Source organism: Homo sapiens, chromosome 8 (assembly GCF_000001405.40).
Source record: "Homo sapiens chromosome 8, GRCh38.p14 Primary Assembly".
In the NCBI taxonomy this organism is placed as follows: domain Eukaryota; kingdom Metazoa; phylum Chordata; class Mammalia; order Primates; family Hominidae; genus Homo; species Homo sapiens.
Genome location: NC_000008.11, coordinates 9,002,892 through 9,022,052, shown reverse-complemented (window position 1 = coordinate 9,022,052; position 19,161 = coordinate 9,002,892). Strand labels below are relative to the sequence as shown.

Below are 19,161 nucleotides of genomic sequence, written 5' to 3'. Positions count from 1 at the left end.
TCAATGATGTACATATCCCATGACCCAGCAACTGCACTCTTAGGTTTTTCTTAGAAAAACGAGTGCACAGACACCAGGGGACATGCACAACAATGCTTATAAAAGTACTCTTCATGGAAGCCCCAAATAAAAACAATCCAAATGGCCAGCCAAAGTAGAACAGATAAACAAATCTGGTATAGTCACACAATGGAATTAATAGCAATAAAGTGAATGAACTGCAGTGACATACAAGACGTGGATGGATCTCAAGCATAATATTGAAAAAAAAAAAAAAACAAAAAAAACAAATAATATAGCCAGTATAATACTAATTATATCGTGCTCAAAGCCAGACAAAACTATATAATATAAGGATATACATTTAAATACTAAAGCTATAAGGAATAATAAGAAAATGATTACCATGAAAGGAAGAATTAGGGTTAACTCCAGGAGGAAGGAAGGGAGTTAAGTGGGTGGAAGTTACAAGGGTATTTGCTTTATAGCAATCGGCAAAACTCTACTTTTCTGCATGCATACTTCTCAGTTTTAAAAGACTGTTAAAACAGAAGAGTCTGTAAGGAAAAGCACCTTTTCTCATGAAACTACTTTAGAACATGCTTCTCCAAAATGAAACTGTAAAGGGAGAAAAATGACATAGTATCTAATGCATGAGAATTAAAGGAAATCCCCTAAGATGATTTTAAAAGAAGCCTGAAGAACTAACAGTTCAGATTAGAACAGGATTAAAGGCTCCAGGAAGATAGTCTGCAAGGGAAAAACAGATGAAAAAAGAAAACCTGACAGACTACCTGAGTGTTCTCAGTCATAAGAAGTGACTTACAGTTTGAATGGAGAGTAAGGGGATAAGTAAACAACCGCGGAAGTAAATTATTACATCCAGGGGAAAGTTGTGGACACTCTCCATAGTCACGGGAGTATGAACACTGAGTGCTCTGACTGAAAGGTAATAGAGCTATAGTAGGAAGATGCAGGAAGGGAAGGACAAGCAGGAGTGGTAACTTAATTGAACTCAATCTTGATCTTTCAGGGCAGGAATTCAATAGATCGCAAACTGAAAAGTCAAGAAGTAGTATAAGCATGAAACTTAGAAATACAAAGGTAAATATTTGAAAAAAAACAAAAACAAAAACAAAAACAGAGCTTTACATAAGTTGAAAGTGTTTGCCTCAGAACAGGAACCAGTTCTGGTGAAGGCTATGGCAGAAGACTGCCATTCATTGTAAGTCTTGCAATAATATTTTAAACATTTACACGGCACACGCATATTAACTTTGATAAATGTGAAGTAAAATTAAAATCTAGTGGGGAGCATTTGCTCCATGAACAATCCACATACTGACTGCCCCTACAGTTTCAAACTTGTCAGGTATATATAGTTAACCTACTTAAATAAAGTTAACAGGTTGAATGAGAAAAAGGCTTATCTAATTTGAACATAAGGAATTTGGAATCTGAAGAGTAAGAACTAATTATATGGCTTTTTTCCATGAAAAACACCTGGAAAATTACAATCTAACGTACATGCAAATTTTAACAAATTTATCATTAAGAACCACGTAATTATTAAATATAGAAATTTTACCTTGTAAAAATTTCCATATGACTTCCGAATATTGATCCACTTTTTCGCAAAAGGAGGGTATTTGAGCCTGCTGAGTTGACACTGAATGTTCAAGAACTTACTCATATCCCAAGAACTATAAATTAAAAAAGGACAAAAAATTGATGAAATAAACGCTATGCTATTCTTACAAATGAGTATTTTAAATCATTTATTTATATATGTCAACTTTCTCATATTCAAATGTAACATCAAGCTGAGAAAATTAACCTTGCTTCCTACAAAATACTAATTCAAAATTAAGCTTTAAAAACCAAACAAAGAAGTCGGATATATTAACTTTTGTTCACAAACTAATTCCTATTAGGCTCATCTTGATTGTTTTCATGGTTCTGGGCAGGCTTCTATCTTGCTGAGTATTATGCTAAGCTTACTTTTACTGCCAGACTTAGCATGGTAAGTTGACAGCATGCTTTGAAATAAAACCAAAAACAAAAAAATGAAAGAAACAAAAGCAGCTGGTATCAAATGGTTAAAATACAATCTGTTCTGCTACAACATTTTTCTATAACACTAACCAATTTATTGTAGTTAAGGACAATACTGATTGTGTAATATGGAAATTGTGTTGGTTCCTACGTGGTTTTTCTTAGGCAAGGAGAGTCAGAATAATAGCAGTGGAAATTATAAACTTCAGCAGGAAATAAGAAAAGCCCTCAACTCAGCTGCTATACTGGGAACAGGATATAATCCTTTGTATTTTCTTATAATACTGTCAACTATATTATAAGAAAATTAAAAATAAGTGTATGTCCCCAGGACACTAGTGCTTCTGTACAATTTTCATATACTTTGACGCAACCTCACCTTCCCTGAGCTGCTTGCCTGGGCTGCCAAATTATTAATGGAGACTCTAATGATTGGTTTTTGTTAGTGCTCTTGTTACAAAATTGCATAGGTTTTGAGTGATCTGTCCCACAAAATGAGACTTTACCAGAACTGCGTATACTATACTACAGCAGAAACACCTGTATACTTTAGCAGAGCACTGCTCATTCATGTTTAAAATCAGTAATGGATTTCTAAAGAGGTCCATAAACATTTTTCCAAACTTAACAGTTATGATGTGATTAAATTCAATGCTTTTCTCCTATCACATGTGAGGATCTCCAAACCCTCTATGTTGGTGACATCTCAGGTATAGAGGATAACCTGCACAGTTTGAAACAGAAGTTGTTTAGGACGTTCTTTTCAACCTTAATGGCCTTAAGGTATCGGAGTTGCCCTGGCACAACGTCTGTCATCTATGTTTTAATCTTTCTGATCTTCCCATTTAGCTTTTCATTTAACAAATGCTTTTTGGGCATACACTTTAAGCTCAGCACTAAGGTAAGCATTATGGAAGATTATTAGGCAGCAAAAGTCCTTCTCTGAAAGAATTTTAGATTTCCTTGCAAAAGTAAGTCTTATGTATGTACACAAAGATTATATATCAGAATATATGGTCAGATGTCAACATGAATGGTATATACCATAGAAATTATAAGGTTTCAAGGAAAAAAAAGATCAATGGCGTTGTCAGGGTAAAACACAAGATGGGCTTTGAAAAATGATAAAGTTGTCGAGAAGACACTCTCAGTACAGAGGGAGGCATAAGTAACTACACAGAGAAAGGGTAAACCATGTGAATTCCTGGGCCAGTCTGACTAAAGAGGATTAATGGCAGGTGAATTAGATTAAACAGGTAGCGTGGGATGAGAGGAAAGAGGCTTCAAGGCCAAGCTCAAGAGTCTGAACTTTTTTGAGTAAGGAAGTGTCATGAAAAAACAGAGTTTTAGCAAAGTCTTTTTAGCTTTACATATTTTTAACTTTCTGTAGTGTTCTAGTCCTGTATTGGACTGTGACCACTGTTTTCTTCCTCTCTTTCATCCTTAGGTGAAAGGAAAAATACTATTCCCTGTGGGGTGAGACTCTAGGGTCTCTAATAATAGTTTGTGGTTATTCTAAAAATCAGATAAATAAGGGTATCTTTAATCTTTAAAAAGTAGATATAAAAAAATAATCTTCCTAAATACTTACCCATCTGTTAAAAGTGAGTATTTATACTTTGTTCCTAATTCCTTCAATTTCATCCAGTCAATTACTTTTTTTAGTACCTGAGGGAAGGTATCAGCTCTGTCTACCTGATCCTGAGGATATAAAAGTAAAATATACAAAAATCAGGGCTGCAGCTTCACGTAGACCTACAAAATACCCAGACCTAAGTTGGAGGGGAAGAAACAGTATGAGAAAGGCTGATACTTTAAATTCATGGTTTCCTTGGCTTAGCTCCACCTAAAGTTTCATTTTTAAGAAATTCTAAAAATTTCATAACCAAGTACTGGGACTACTTTCAACTGAAAAGTATAATCCTCCCAAAATTAAGATTTAAGATCATCCCCAGTGGTTCTCTTTTTATAGGCCTGAACCTAGCGGCTTACTGGATTTCTAGAGGAGGGAAAAGAGAAATCTCTTCTAAGCTGAAAGCCACAGCTCCCTAAGTGTCTTCCCATCTCAGGTCTCACAATTTTCCACGCATACTACATACTGCTGCCAGACTGATCTTCCTAAAACGTAAATCGGGTCCGCCCTATCACTCTCATACTTAAATCCTCCAACCACTCTCCAAGGCTTTCAGGACAAATAGATGCACAAGACCCTTCAGGATCTGGATTGCCTCTGCCTATCTGGACCATTTTCTTAACAGTCCATACACATCTGAACCATCCTGAACTACCTGTAGGTCTGCCAGTTCCCACCTGAAATGCCCAGCCATTCTTTTCTGCCTACCTATCTTTCATGACTCAGCCCAAGTTCATCAACTTGAGGATGTTTTTCCCCAGGACAGTCTTCTATTCCCTCTGTCATATATGGAAGCCCTTTTCATAGATGTCCACAACACCGCAATAAAACACTGACTTATTAGGCCTACTGTGACCACTGCACAGACATACGTCTATATACACATAAAGATATATACAAATGCTGGCATATATTATAGTAGGCACTCAAATACACGTGGAGTGAATGAATGAACTAACTAAATGAAAAAAGTGCCTACCACATTAGAATACAATAAAAAATCAGAGACCTAAAAATTCATGAAACAGGCTAGGTGTGGTGGCTCATGCCCGTAATCCCAACACTTTTTGGGACCGAGGAGGGCTTGACGTCAGGAGTTCTTCAAGACCACCTTGGCCAACACAGTGAAACCCGTCTCTACTAAAAATAAAAAAAAAATTAGCCAATCATCGTGGTGTGTGCCTATAGTCTCAGCTACTTGGGAGGCTGAGGCAGGAGAATCGCTTGAACCTGGGAGGCAGAGGTTGCAGTGAGCCAAGATCGTGCCACTGCACTCCAGCCTGGGCAACAGAGTGAGACTCCATCTCAAAAAAATAAAAATAAAAAATAAATGCAAAATATAAAGTCAGGTTGTAAACAGATACATTCTAAAACTTATCTCTGGCTGGGCATGGTGGCTCACGTCTGTAATCCCAGCACTTTGGCAGGCCGAGGCGGGACACTTGAGGTTAGGTGTTCGAGACCAGCCTGGCCAATATGGCGAAACCAGGTCTCTACTAAAAATAAAAAAATTAGCCGGGTGTGGTGGCAACGCGCCTGTAGTCCCAGTTACTCAGGAGGTTGAGGCAGGAGAATCGCTTGAGCCCAGGAGGCAGAGGCTGCAGTGAGCCGAGGTCACGCCACTGTACTCAAGCCTGGGTGACAGAGTGAGACTGTCTCAAAAAAATAAATAAATCAAACATCTCCAAGTTCAGTATGGAAACAATTTGCTGATGCATTTTACAGACGAAATCTTTCGATTCACCACTACAACTCCTTAAGAGGAAAGGCTGAGGAAAATGTTACCAGATATAAAATTTGCTGTTTTTTTTTTTTTAATTATTACAACATGAAAGATCTTTACCAAGCAAGGTATTAAATTGTTCACAACAGTAATAATTTTTTTAAATTATGTATAAAATAAATCCCTAATTTCAAGAACTCTTTCAAACTCTAGAAAGAAGAACTTAGAATTATAACCTGAGTAATTCCAGTTAGACTGATGCAGAAATCAGACAGCTGTGTGTTAATCTCTGGTCTTACATACTGCTGAAACGTGTCTTCCTGCAAGGGAAGGATAGCAAGTTAAAGTAATTTATATGAGTTAAGATACACGATACATGATACACGACGAATTCATCACAGCAGGTTGCAATTTCATAGGATCTCACGGCATAAACCCTTCCAGTTTTTAAGAATAATTCCCCACATCGAAAGCACTCTTAATTTTTAAATTAAAAAATGAATTGATTCATAATTTAAAATATTTTACGATAAAGTGAGTGTGTGAAAGATTTCAACCCAAAATTTAATTATTTTCCTGAGGAACAAAATATTAATAATTTTGTTCATAATATTTTAAAACTATAAAGCGCATTAATGCATCCTCTACTTCAAGATACTAAGTTTTAAAAATAATAAATTCTTTTGAAGAAATGCCAGCCTGCAGTTATAATAAATTAGCTTTAAACTATTTTTCTCTCATTTACTCCTGAATAGTCTTTATTTTCATATAAAAATCCAATTGAACTAAATTCTAAATAGTCAAAATTTAACTGTATGATATATAGGTAGTTTAAGAGTTGCTAACACTGTGTATCTACAGTAATGTTGAATCTTTTCAAGAAGCTTTCACGATGGTCTCTTTTTTTTTTTTTTTTTTTGGAGACAGAGTCTCGCTCTGTCTCCCAGGCTGGAGTGCACTGCCACAATCTCGGCTCACTGCAAGCTCCGCCTCCCAGGTTCACGCCATTCTCCTGCCTCAGCCTCCCAACTAGCTGGGACTACAGACGCCTGCCACCACGCCTGGCTGATCTTTTGTATTTTTAGTAGAGACTGGGTTTCACCATGTTAGCCAGGATGGTCTCGATCTCCTGACACGATGGTCTTATTTTATGCTCACAACTCTGTAAACTAAGTGAGGCCAGTATTGTTATCAGGCTCCGATCTCTAAGTGCTTTTTCCTCTAGCCAGTAATGCCTCCCTAACCAGAACACACTGAGTCAATTTTGAGATTAAGGACAATTTTAAACCCTAAAGATTTAAAGGCAGCAACTGTTAATCCTAGGTAGTAGATATAGAGAAAATGACAAAAAATATTCTTCATGGCAGAAGATTTAAAAATTAAGAAAAGTTTGTATTTCCTAAGAATAAATTCTTTCTACCTACTAATCTATTAAGTGGATGAGCTATAAATGGTTGTAAAGAATTGTAAATGAGCAACAGTAAAGAACAAAAAAGAACACCTGAGGCCAGATGTGGTGACTAATGCCTGTAATCCCAGCACTCTGGGAGGCCAAGGGGGGTGGATTACTTGAGGTCAGGAGTTCAAGACCAGCCTGGCCGAAGTGGTGAAACCTGTCTCTACTAAAAATACAAAAATTAGCTGGGCGAGGTGGCATGCACGTATAGTTCCAACTACTCAAGGAGCTGAGGTGGGATAATCGCTTGAACCCAGGAGGCAGAGGTTGCAGTGAGCCGAGATTGAGCCACTGCTCTCCAGCCTGGGTGACAAAGCAAGACTCCATCTCAAAAAAAACAAAACAAAACAAAACAAAAGAATAATTGAACTTCAAAAGTTAGACACTCTTACCGGATACACTGCAACATTCCACTTAACTGCATATCACAGATAAATTAAGTCTATATCCTTTTAAGTATCACTATTTTATCATTCTAAATGACATTCTTTCAAAAATATATTGCAACTTCCCTTATAATTATAATTCGGTAGTACTAAATAACAGATATTACTAAAATGTTATTCGCTACTAAATACTTTTAACAGAAGAATGCTAGAGAGAACTATACATTCATTGGCCAAATCTTTAATCATCACTTAAATAAATTAGGTAAGTTAAAAGGTAGTAAGGGTTATTAAAACTAAAGGAACCTGGGTGCCTGTAATCCCAGCTACTCAGGAAGATAAAGTAGGAGACTCCCTTGAGCAAGCAAAGGAAAGTAGAGCAGTAAGGGGGGTCAGAAACATGGGCACAGGCCACACTCTTAAATAGGATAATCAAGTAGGCTTTATTTAGAGGTAAGATTTAAGGAAGGACTGGAAGGAAAAACGGGAGGGAGGGAGAGAAGGAGAAAAACATCAGCCAGCAAGACTTCTGGCTAAGAAAACTGGAGCTAAAGTCCTGGCAAGTAATGGGATAAAGCATGCCTGGCATTTTTGAGAATGAGCAAGCAGGTCAGTATGCCTGGAGTGGAATGAGTTAAGGAAAAGAGTAGTAAGACAGGAAACAATCAGAGGAAACAATAGGCCAGGTCATGTAAGGAATATTGGTTGTACTCTGAGTTAAATGAGGAGCCATTGCAGGGTTTTGAGCAGAGGGGTGAAATGACTTGTATTTTAAAAGGATTACTCTGGCCAGTTTTTTGAGAACTGGTTGTAGGCGGACACAGACAGAAACACAAAGACCAGTTAGGTGGCGAATGCAGTAAGTCACATAAATGATAGAGGATCAGAATGAAGTCACAGCAGTTCAGTTAAGTGACTGGGTTCTGGATATATTTTGAAGGCAGAGCCAAACAGGAATCATTGATGACCTGGATGTGAGAGAAACAAGAGTCAAAGATGACTCCAAAGTTTTTGAACTGAGCAATTAGAAGGATTCTAATTAGAAAAAGCTGCCATCCCCCAGGCTACAGGAGGCTAAAGATAGAATGGGCTGGGGTAAGTTCAAAAGGTTGAGACACTTAAGCAGAGATTTCAAATAAGCAATCTGGATTTGGAACGGGTTGGAAATATGTATTTGAAAGTCACCAGCAAAGAGACAGCTTCTGAAAGCTATGGAACTAGATAAGATCATCAAGCGAAAGGATGTAAGCAGAGAAGAGGATGTAAGCAGAGAACGGGGGCTAGGATTGAGACCTGGGTCATCTGATACGGGGAAGCTGGGAAGGAAAGGAGGAACCAGCAAAGAAAACTGCAAGTGGGGAATCCAGTAGGGCTGGAGAAAAATCAAGCAGAACAAGTTATACCTGAAGAAAATGCTCCAAGGAAAGAGTATTCAAGCCAGCAGTGCAGTGTTAATTTTTTTTTTTTTTTTTTTTAAGTGAGAATGGCCGGGCATGGTGGCTCACGCCTGTAATCCTAGCACTTGGGGAACCTGAGGCAGGTGGATTGCCTGAGCTCAGGAGTTTGAAACCAGCCTGCGCAACATGATGAAACCCTGTCTCTACTAAAATACAAAAAATTAGCCGGGCGTGGTGACACACACCTGTATTCCCAGCTACTCAGGAGGCTGAGGCAGGAGAGCTGCTCGAACCCAGGAGGTGGAGGTTGCAGTCAGCTGGGTTTGCACCACTGCACTCAAGTCTGGGTACAAGACTCTATCTTAAAAAAGAAAAAAAAAAGTGAGAATGGTCAATTTTGCCAGGAGTTAGGGTAAAGGTCAAAGATGATGTTGATGAGTGATTTTAGTGGAATGATGGGATTGAATACACAGCTTAAACTTTATTGAAGGTTATGGTATAAATTTGAGAGAATGGAAGAAAAGGAAAGAGATAAACATATAAGTACCTATAACTTAAGTGAAGAATTTTCCCAAAAAGAGGAACAAAGAAATGCAGTAGCTGGCAGTGAAGTGGGATGAAGTTTTTACACAGTGTGAAAAATATAACATGTTTTTGTGTAGTGGGAGCAATATAGACAAAAGCAATAAATCATAATGTCCAAATGAGGGAGAACTGCTACAGTAACGTCCTTGAGTAAGAGAGAAGTAAAATCTAGTGACTTATGCAAGATTATTTGCCTTCATAGCTGCCATTTTTCCTTCTAATTTACTGACCTTCAATCTGCTTTGGATAAGAAAATTATAGAAATAGGCTAAGACTATAACTAAAAGAGATTTTGAATAGCACTAATAACCTATGCATTTTAATTCACAAAACCTTTTTATACTTACTCCCAAGTGGGTTGGTAGCAACTGAGGATATCACAGAAGTGACTTTTGGAAAGTTGAGATGTTAGGATATTCTTGCTCAGATTTTATAAGGTAAACAGTATTATTTTAGGGAATTCCTACTAGACTTTCTTAACTAATAAAGCACTGACAAGTATCTAAAGCACACATATTATTTGGCTTAGAAACCAGGGTTATATGAGTCATTTCACCCTTAAACTTTCCACCAGAGAGAGAGGTTCAAAAGTCATTTTTGTAAATTATCATTCTTAGAGATCAGAGTTCACACTAGGCCACAGTGGTGGTTATCAAGCCTGACCGCATATTAAAACCAACTGAAAAGCTTCAAAAAAATGCTGATGTCAGAGGCCCTATCAGAGAACTAAATTAGAATCTCTGGGACTAGGGCCAGGCATCAGTATCATTAGTGTTTTCTTTATTTTTTTACTTACCAGGAGATTCTGATGTCCACACCCAGATGTTCTAAGCAAATGGAAAACAACATTTTAACTTCCGCTACTGCAAAAAGAAAGCAGTAGTCTCTAAAATTGCTTTGTTACAGCTTTTCTATTAATCAAGCTGATATAAAGTTCATGGCAAAGAAAAAACTTACTTTAGAAGTCTAATTCTGGCTAAAAAGCAAATGAGGTCCTCCACATAACCAGTAAACACCAGAATAGTTGCTGCTAGAAATACAATTAAAATACAAAAATTCACTTACTATTTCTAAAGTATGCGTATTCAGTAAAACAACCGGAAATTCAATTATTTCATGTACAAACTCAGGTGGGTTTCCTTCTTCACAAGTGGCTTCAAAGTCAATAATACAAATGTAGTCATAATAACTGTCAGCAAAATTGCTCTCTTTCAGCATCAGCTTCTGCTTCTTATAATAGTTTTTCAGTCTCTTCTTTAGAACATCCTTTACTCCTCTAAGTAGAAGAAGAAGACTAGTTACACTTAGGTAAATTCTACAGTCAAGAATCAAAACTCTCACCTGCTGGCACTGGGCTGAACACTGACAATCACAGCGAAATTTAGCAAATGCTAGCTAAAATAAATGTAAGAAAAGCAAGACTCAAAGCTAAGTTAGCAAAGAACTAATTAAAATAATATGTTTATTACAACATTAACATTTTCCTTCACAAGTCTTTTTTTATTTTAGTAGTATATAACAGTATTTTCTCCAACATATACTGGTACTTCAAACCATAAACACTGTCAGCATATACTACCAACACAGTCGTCATACTGCCTTATATACTAAGATAACATATATGATACAAACATTGAAATTAATATAAAATTATTCCACTGGCCAAAATATAAACTTAAGAATATAAAAATTTGGGTTAAGTTGAAAATATCGTATTATCTCTTTCCTTTCTTTTGGCTTTTGTAGGTTAGTCAACTCAAAAGATTCATATGAATATGAAAGCATTATGAGCCTAGCATATAAAGGTGAATGTCTGTTGGCTACTTAACAAGGAAAACTCAATTAGAATACACTCTAAGTAAACTGTCCAAAGGAGCATTATCACACTAGTAGGTTCTTAACTAGAAATAAGTTTCTTAATTTATCATGGGTAGAATATGATTTAGGGGATTTCAATATTATAGGTAGCTTTAAAATATACATTCCACAAATGGAGTAGTGGGGAGGAGAGAAAGGTCATCCTAACAGATAACAGTGATCAGGTGACTTCATTCTTTAAACAATATGTATTTTTCCAAAAAATTAAGTTGCAACCAGCATTCAGGCTTCCTTCAGCGTTATATAAATGAATCCTATATTGGCCTGCAAATATGAAATGGAAGTAAAAATAAAAAGATCTAAATTATAATTAATGTGTAGTGCCAAGTAAAGTATCATGTTAACTGATTAATGACTATTTAAAAAAAACCTTTTTAGTCTTTTATTTTCCTTTCTAAAATACAATTAAGCACTGAAAAAAATCCTACCCATGAAAATAGTAATAATCAACCAGTTAGCTTTTTTAAGATGAAATGTCTTAATATTGTTTCTTTGCTTGAGATTTTCAAAATTATCAAGACCTACGGAGAAAATCCTTAACCTCTTTCATATTAAGGCACTGTGAGTGACCTCTGTGTCATGTGACAGCTTTGGATTACTTTCTTTTTTTATCTTTTTATTGGTTGTTATTGTTGTGGGGTGGGAGGTGTGATAGGGGGAGAGACTACATTTACCAGAGTTGTCTGCAAAGCTAATGGCAGGACAAACATACAACTAGTTGCTCTGGATAGAAACCTGCTATCTTTAACATCTCCTTTGCTCTTCCAAATATTCACCATGTTTGTCAATTCTAACTCAGAAACATATTCAGAATATGATTCTCTCTAATTCTTTCTGCTATGGCTCTCATTAGCTTCGTTGAGCATGGCAAATGCCTCCATTACCACAACACTTCGATTCATTCTTTACTTTACTTGAGAACTGAGCACTAACACCAATTTTCTGCTTAAATATCTTCAGTGGCTCCCTTCTGCTTACGAGGTAAAATGCAGACTTCAGCATAGAGTTCCTTCACAACTTGGCTACAACCTATCATTTCACTATCATTGTCACATGTTCCTGAGGTATACTGTGTACTGCAGACAAAATATACTATAAGCCATGGCCTCAACCAGCCAGATGGCTCACGTCTATAATCTCAGCACTTTGGGAGGGGGGTGAATCACTTGAGCTGGAGCTCGAGACCAGCCTGGGCAACATGGAGAAACCCTATCTTCACTAAAAATACAAAAATTAGCCAGGCATGGTGGTGCATGCCTGTAATCCGAGCTACTCAGGAGGCTGAGGCACGAGAATCGCTTGAATCCAGGAGTCGGAGGTTGCAGTGAGCCGAGATCACACCACTGCACTCCAGCCTGGCGACAGAGCAAGACTCTGTCTCAAAAAAATAAAAAATAAAAGGCATGTTCTCAATACACTTTTATGTCCTATAACTTTGGTTGCACAACAGGTGAAGAAAAGGCAAGATCATGTTGCAGAAACCATACAAACTGGAATTAGAAAAGTTTCTGTTATTTTTTTGCCTGAAATACCCTCCCCCTCCCTTTTCTGTTTGGCACAATTCAAATGTCATCTTTCTGAATTCCTGAGAAATATTCTCCTCTGTATTCTCATGCTGTACCTGGCCAGACCTCCAATATAGCATTGGCCACTCTGTATTGTGATGATTTCTTTGTATGTTTTCCCAAAAGACTGAGATTGCCAAAGTGGGGAACATATCTGTATTTACCTTTATAACTTCAATGCCTAGTGCAGTACTTAGAATTCAATACAGGCTTGTTGAATAAACGTATAAACATACATCTAGATCGCTAGCTCCCACGCAAGCCAGGAGTAAGCAACTGATCTTCACACCTGGGAAGGACAAAAATTTTGCTCGGAAAATCTTCTGTAGGCTACAAGTTGTACCTTCATAACAGAAAGAATCGGGGAAATAGGAGTCAAAAATTTCTTCATACATTATGATGTAGACAATCTAGAAATTAATAAATTTGTGCTCTTTTGAAGAGTGGTGAAACTCTAAAGAGGAAGAATACTACTATTAAGAGAATTATGATTCAGAGATGTCTTGAAAAAGGAAGAGTTTTTACCTATTTCATACAGGCAATTTTTTTTCTTGATGCCTGGCAGTTCTACCGTTTATCAAAAATCGATGTATTTTTCTGGACTCCAAAAGCCATTTCTGCCCCATGGCCCAATGAACGTAAAGTGATTTGTTTCGCAAAAAATTACTAAAAACTTAGGTATGTGTATATCTCATTAAAATACACATACAGTTGACTAAGTTGCATTGTTTTCTCACTCAATATACAGTGAAACATAATGCAAACGATCATTGTAGATTATTTTTTAGAAATTAAAACAAAAAATATTCCTGTTAAGTGAATGTTTTTAATTTATTGTACCTGATTTCAAACAAACTCTTTTTATAAAAGATACAAATGGCAAAAAGAAAATAAAAAATACTCTATCTCACTAATATAACTATCCATCATTTAAATGAGCAACTAAAAAAATTTAAAACACTCTTGTCATAATAAGACAGAGACTCCTATACATTGCCGGTAGGTCATTAAAATATTTGACTTTGATTCAGCAGTCCTATCATCTAGAAGACAGACAAAAATAATCAGAGTTGCACATAAAAAATGTTAATTAGTTTTTGTGAACTGTTAATAGGATCATGTCATTACGGTAGGATTACAGATGATTTTTAATATTTCAATGTTTTCAAGATTTTCTAAAATGAGCATGTACTACTTTTATAATTTTATAAGTTATTTTTAATTACCTAGTTTCAAGCTTGAATTCTGAAAGCTTAGCTCTGAGTTCTTCCTTACTCATTCTATTAATACAGCCATTCGTAATGGCAATCTCTTTGTAAACCGGGTCACTGAAGTCACTCGCACTGGAGGTAATGAACTTGGATCCTTTTGTCTCCTGGCCATCAAATTTACACTGTTGAGTTTCCTACCAAAAAAAAAAAAAAAAAAAAAAAAAAAAAGGATGTAGTTTATAATTAGTACAAACATCACAGATTTAAAGATTCAAACTTTCAAACTTCTGAAGCCTCTTCATGCTACATGTTCAATGAAAAGTGTTCACTGCAGCTCCTAAACGGAGGAAAGGATAAGAAGGAAGATGCGTCTCCAATACAATTTACCCCACTCTATTATGAGTCATGAGGTTCCTCAAAGGAAACAAAGCTAAGTAAAAAGAAGACTGGTGGTGGGAGTCAACACCACCTCAATAGAGAACCCCAGCTGACTATTTACTAGAAATAGCAGCATGACTTTGGATAGCTACGTATTAGCCTCTGATCCTCAATTTCCTTATCTATAAAATGGTAATTTGGTAATGGTAAATAGTGTTTGGGCAGAATTATTACAAAGATTAAATGAGATTATGTGTATCAGACCCCTACACCCACAGTAGCTATTAATAAATGGTAACTATTAATATCACAGGCTATACAACAAGCCCTTCACAAACAATATGCTAATATTTACAAATGAACCCATTTTTAAATGAACTTTTACATTATACATGTGTAATAACTTCTGATAATTTTTTAACCTGACTTCATTTCACAAAGTTAACAAAAATTGCCCAACATAAAAACAAAATGGACCGCAAATCTAATTTACAGCTTCCTAGTACTCAAAGAAGGAAATGTATTTAATTTCAAAACTTACATTTTCCAAAAGTTGTACTTAGGTCCACTAACCAGAAGAACTATAGAATTATGAATTTTTTCATAAATAAAAATCTGTTAAGAAAAAACATGACTCAATTCTATTTTCTCCACAGGCAGTCTCAAATTACTAATATGTTAAGTTCCAAAGATTCATTTGTAAGTTATTTTCCACATGCAATATCACAAATATTAGCTATGTTCCATAATTTTGAAAAATATTTAGTACTAATTATCCCTATTAAAGCTTGTTACCTTAGTTATAATGTACCACATTGTCCTCACGTAAACTGTAATTATAGATCAAGGAAGGATAATCACAGAGAGGCCACAGTCCCTAACTCAGAACTGATCCTGATGGTTCAGGAACCATTTCTTACTCTAAGCTCTCAATTTAATGCAACACACATTTACTGGAAATGTAATGCTAGGTAAGGTGCCAGAGTACTCAAGAGTGACTCACCCATTTCCTTTGAGGAAGAGGTCAGCAGTTCCAATGTGTGAACTGTCCATAAATTAAAGAACAGCCACACTGAGGTTCCTTGTTAACAATGTTAAGGAAAAAAAAAGTATTGCTAGTTGACCAATGATTCACTTTCAACAATATATTAGATTTACAATAGATATTGCTCTGCTTGACCAGAATTTTACAAAAAATTATCTTTTGACTTTAAATTTACATTGAATTTGAAACTTCATCTTTAGTCATCATTTAGTAAATTTCAGGTTAAAATTTAGGTCAACATTAAGTAACAGTTTGTCTACCAAAACAGATGTCTCAGTTAATTTAAGCAGATTTTCTCTTTGGATAAATCCTCTTTCTGATTCACTGGTTAATTCTCATCCTAAACTGTAGCTAGAAAAATTATTCACAAGTAACACTTAGGCCTCTTCTATAGATGCTATAAATTATGACTTCCATAAAGAAAAATTTGCTTCCTTTCCTAGGTCCAGCTCTAGTTCTCTTCCTTCAGTGAAGTTCTAGAGACAGCCGAGGTCCAATCCTCAGAAAGCAGTGTCTCCTCCCAAATTTCAAATCTACACTAATGGTTCACAAAGAAGGATGCTCAAATCAATCTGCCAAGGAGCAGAAAGAAAATACTAAAAACCCTACTTGTATTGTTAATCTGCAGAAAGACAAAATTAGTTTACGAAATACATACTTACATTTGCATCAGCATCCGTACCAGTAACTACATCCACCTATCACATGTCACATATAATACGGACCATATAATGAGAAAAGTGATAGATTCCACAATATGGAGAGAAACATTCACCATCACAGAACTGTAACATTTTGCAATATTCACGTATTCAATTAAGTGGATGTATGGTTTATATTATCTCAAATAAGAGAAGCTTTTACATTATGGGATGTGGCCATGAAAATCTTCTATACCAAACAGAGGTTTACTATCTTGTGGCAAACTACTTTAAAACTGTCGTTGAGGCCGGGCGCGTTGGCTCACGCCTGTAATCCCAGCACTTTGGGAGGCCGAGGCGGGCGGATAACGAGGTCAGGAGATAGAGACCACGGTGAAACCCCGTCTCTACTAAAAATACAAAAAATTAGCCGGGCGGGCGCCTGTAGTCCCAGCTACTCAGGAGGCTGAGGCAGGAGAATGGCGTGAACCCGTGAGGCGGAGCTTGCAGCGAGCCGAGACTGAGCCGCTGCACTCCAGCCTGGGCAACAGAGAGAGACTCCCTCTCAAAAAAAAAAAAAAAAAACATAAAAAAACTGTTGTTGAACTTAAAGATGAGTTACAAATTTTCTTTTACAAAAAGACAGGTATTCTATAATTGCTGTCCTCTTCTTATTGGGAAGGGTACCGGAGCTTGATTTTTAGCATTTTTTTAAAGGAACACAATCTGTTGTTGCAAGAAAAAAGAAAACACATTTTAACAGTAAGCTACAAAGTAACTGCTTGTCAAATAAAACTTTTTCTGTATAGAGAACATTTTGAAAACATGTTCTGGAAATGCTATTATTCTGCTGCCAAAAATCTAGGTACTACCTTTTAAAAAAAGAAAAGGAAAACCTCTGCATCTGCACACTGAAAAAAAACTTAGAATTTTTCTTGATTGACGTTCTTCCAAAAGGAGAGTTCTGATGAAATCTGAACCTACTTATTAAAAATATAAATATGCAATAGCTTCTACTAGTTTACAAAGACAACTAGCATTAGAGATAATGGAAATTTACCACCTGAATTCAACAAAAAACTTTGGCCCAGATTGAAAAACACTGTATCATGGCCAGGCGCAGTGGCTCATTGCCTGTAATCCCAGCACTTTGGGAGGCCGAGGTGGGCGGATCACCTGAGGTCAGGAGTTCCAGACCAGCATGGCCAACATGGTGAAACCCCATCTCTACTAAAAATACAAAAACTAGCCAAGCGTGGTGGTGGGTTCCTGTAATCCCAGCTACTAGGGAGGCTGAGGCACGAGAATCACTTGAATCCGGGAGGCGGGAGGTTGCAGTAAGCTGAGACCATGCCATTGCACTCCAGACTGGGCAACAAGAACGAAACTCCGTCTCCAAAAAAAAAAAAAAAAAAGTATCATTACTATTATTTTTTGAGACAGGGTCTCACTCTGTCACCCAGGTTGGAGTGCAGTGGCACGATCACAGCTCACTGCAGCCTCCACCCATGGGCTCAGGTGATCCTCCCCACTGAGCCTCCCCAGTAGCTGGGACTACGGGAGAGGGCAACTACGACCGGCTTTTTGTAAAAAAAAAAAAAAAAAAAAAAAAAAGTATCACTATAAAGAGCATGCAACAGTAAGTTTTTAACAATTACTACCGTCACTAAAGCCAATTTGGAACAGAGACCTAGGCCTTAAGTAGCTGTAAAAGTGTCAAGACTTTCAAATATAAAGAAGCATATTCAAACACACTTCTTTTACTAAAAATAAACTTCGAAATTTATTTTAAAACCCACTTACAGGATGAGATTGACAACGTATCTCAGGCTGAAGAGGGAGGCAGGTGGAAGAGTGGTTCTTTACAAGAGAAGGGATGTGCAAGTACTCTTTGAAATAACAACCTTAGAAGGAGAAAGATAATTGCAAGGATCCAAAGGAAGTGCACACAGGGCAAAAGGAACATACAGAGATCCTTAACGAGACCTTCTTTCCAATGTCAAAGAACACAAGGCAGCGAGGGGCACTGGGAACAAAAGGGAAAAAACTGTGTGAGATGCAATTACCAAGGGAGGCAGGCACCCGACCCCGCAGAGCAGCAAATGGAAGTGACTCAGGAGGGGAATAAGCCAAATTCATGTTATTGAAAAGCTCATTCTAGCTGCCAGATGGAAACTGACTGTGGACGGAAGGAGCAAGAGTTAGGAGGCCTCTTGCAAATACGCACTTTATGAAGCTTTACGAAGTGTTCAACATGTTTATTATTAGGAAAAGATCAATTTTAGTATTCAATCACTTACAATCCGCAGCGCTAGTCAACAATTAACATTCGTTAAATAAGTTTTAAGACTGTTCTACAACTTTGCCACTGTAACTAAGTTCAACCGATGAGATGTCAAAATGATTCATTCAATCTTATACTATGGTTATATGAGACACCAGTTAATGAGCAAAAGCAGCTAAGACGAAGCTCCACTTAACAGGTACAGAGACAGGGATGCTGGTGAGTGCTTTTTAAATTTTTTCTTTTTTTAAAAACAGGCATGAAGTGACATACCTAGCGTATATGGTGAGATTTTAAAAACATAAAGCCTTGCAAACTACCCATAACGGCTACATGGAGTGACAACAGCAACCGTGAACACAGAATTAAGTTTAAAGCAAAACTCCCTCTTAGAACCTGTTAACCCACTGTAGACAGAACTGGTCTTGACGATTTCCTCCCTCCCAGAGAGTGATTCGGCCCTGAGGGGGCTCCAAGACACCCACCCGAGGATAAAGCCAGGGAGCTGGGCACCGAGGAAGAGGCTGGGGTCCAAGGGCGCACAGCTGCACCTTCTGCGGGACACCTGAGAAGAAAGGGGTGCCGAGGGCGCTTTGGGGACGGGGCAGCTGGCGCCAACAGCCAGGCGCGGGTCGACTCCTCACCTCGGGACTGGGACGCGGCGGCTCCTCCCCGCCCTCCGGCCGCGGCGACTCCAGCAGCGCGAGAGCCACGGCCTCGCCGGCAGGCTCTTTACTCTGTGGATCCTCCATGCCGGCTGTCACGCCAGAGGAGAGTTGCTGGAGCCGGACACTTGCTAACTCTCACTCTGCAGAGCCCGAAAGCCTCGCCTTTCTCCGTTGAAAAATTACCGGGCTCGCGTTCCCGCGGCGGCGGCCACACAAACTCCAGCGGCCACCTCCCACTTCCGGGAGCGTGTGGCGT

At 37.7% G+C, this 19,161-nt stretch overlaps 1 protein-coding gene across 8 annotated transcripts in view, besides 1 other annotated feature; it reads right to left on the bottom strand.

Annotated features, from left to right (window-relative positions):
• ERI1 (exoribonuclease 1) overlaps positions 1 to 19,156 on the bottom strand; it is a 97,208-nt gene extending 78,052 nt beyond the window's left edge. For 4 of the 8 annotated variants that reach the window (NM_001354638.2, XM_047422402.1, NM_153332.4 and 1 more), the window contains exons 1-6: positions 18,882 to 19,156; positions 13,905 to 14,083; positions 10,301 to 10,511; positions 5,648 to 5,731; positions 3,647 to 3,756; positions 1,589 to 1,703 (exon numbers count right to left, since the gene is read on the bottom strand). In NM_001354638.2, the coding sequence (NP_001341567.1) occupies positions 1,589 to 1,703; positions 3,647 to 3,756; positions 5,648 to 5,731; positions 10,301 to 10,511; positions 13,905 to 14,083; positions 18,882 to 18,989 (807 nt within the window). In that variant the 5' untranslated portion in view covers positions 18,990 to 19,156. Of the gene's footprint in view, positions 1 to 1,588; positions 1,704 to 3,646; positions 3,757 to 5,647; positions 5,732 to 10,300; positions 10,512 to 12,842; positions 13,022 to 13,904; positions 14,084 to 14,808; positions 15,191 to 17,756; positions 17,980 to 18,722 lie in introns of those variants that run through there. The other 4 variants (XM_005272401.4, NM_001354636.2, NM_001354635.2 and 1 more) reach the window with 4 other exon arrangements.
• Positions 6,693 to 7,402: an enhancer, noted in NCBI's record as "OCT4-NANOG-H3K27ac hESC enhancer chr8:8872161-8872870 (GRCh37/hg19 assembly coordinates)". NCBI's record gives its function as "activates a minimal SCP1, AML or CMV promoter by ChIP-STARR-seq in naive and primed H9 embryonic stem cells {active_cell/tissue: H9 hESC(naive and primed)}" and the evidence as "EXISTENCE:reporter gene assay evidence [ECO:0000049][PMID:30033119]".
• Positions 19,157 to 19,161: the final 5 nt, after the last annotated feature.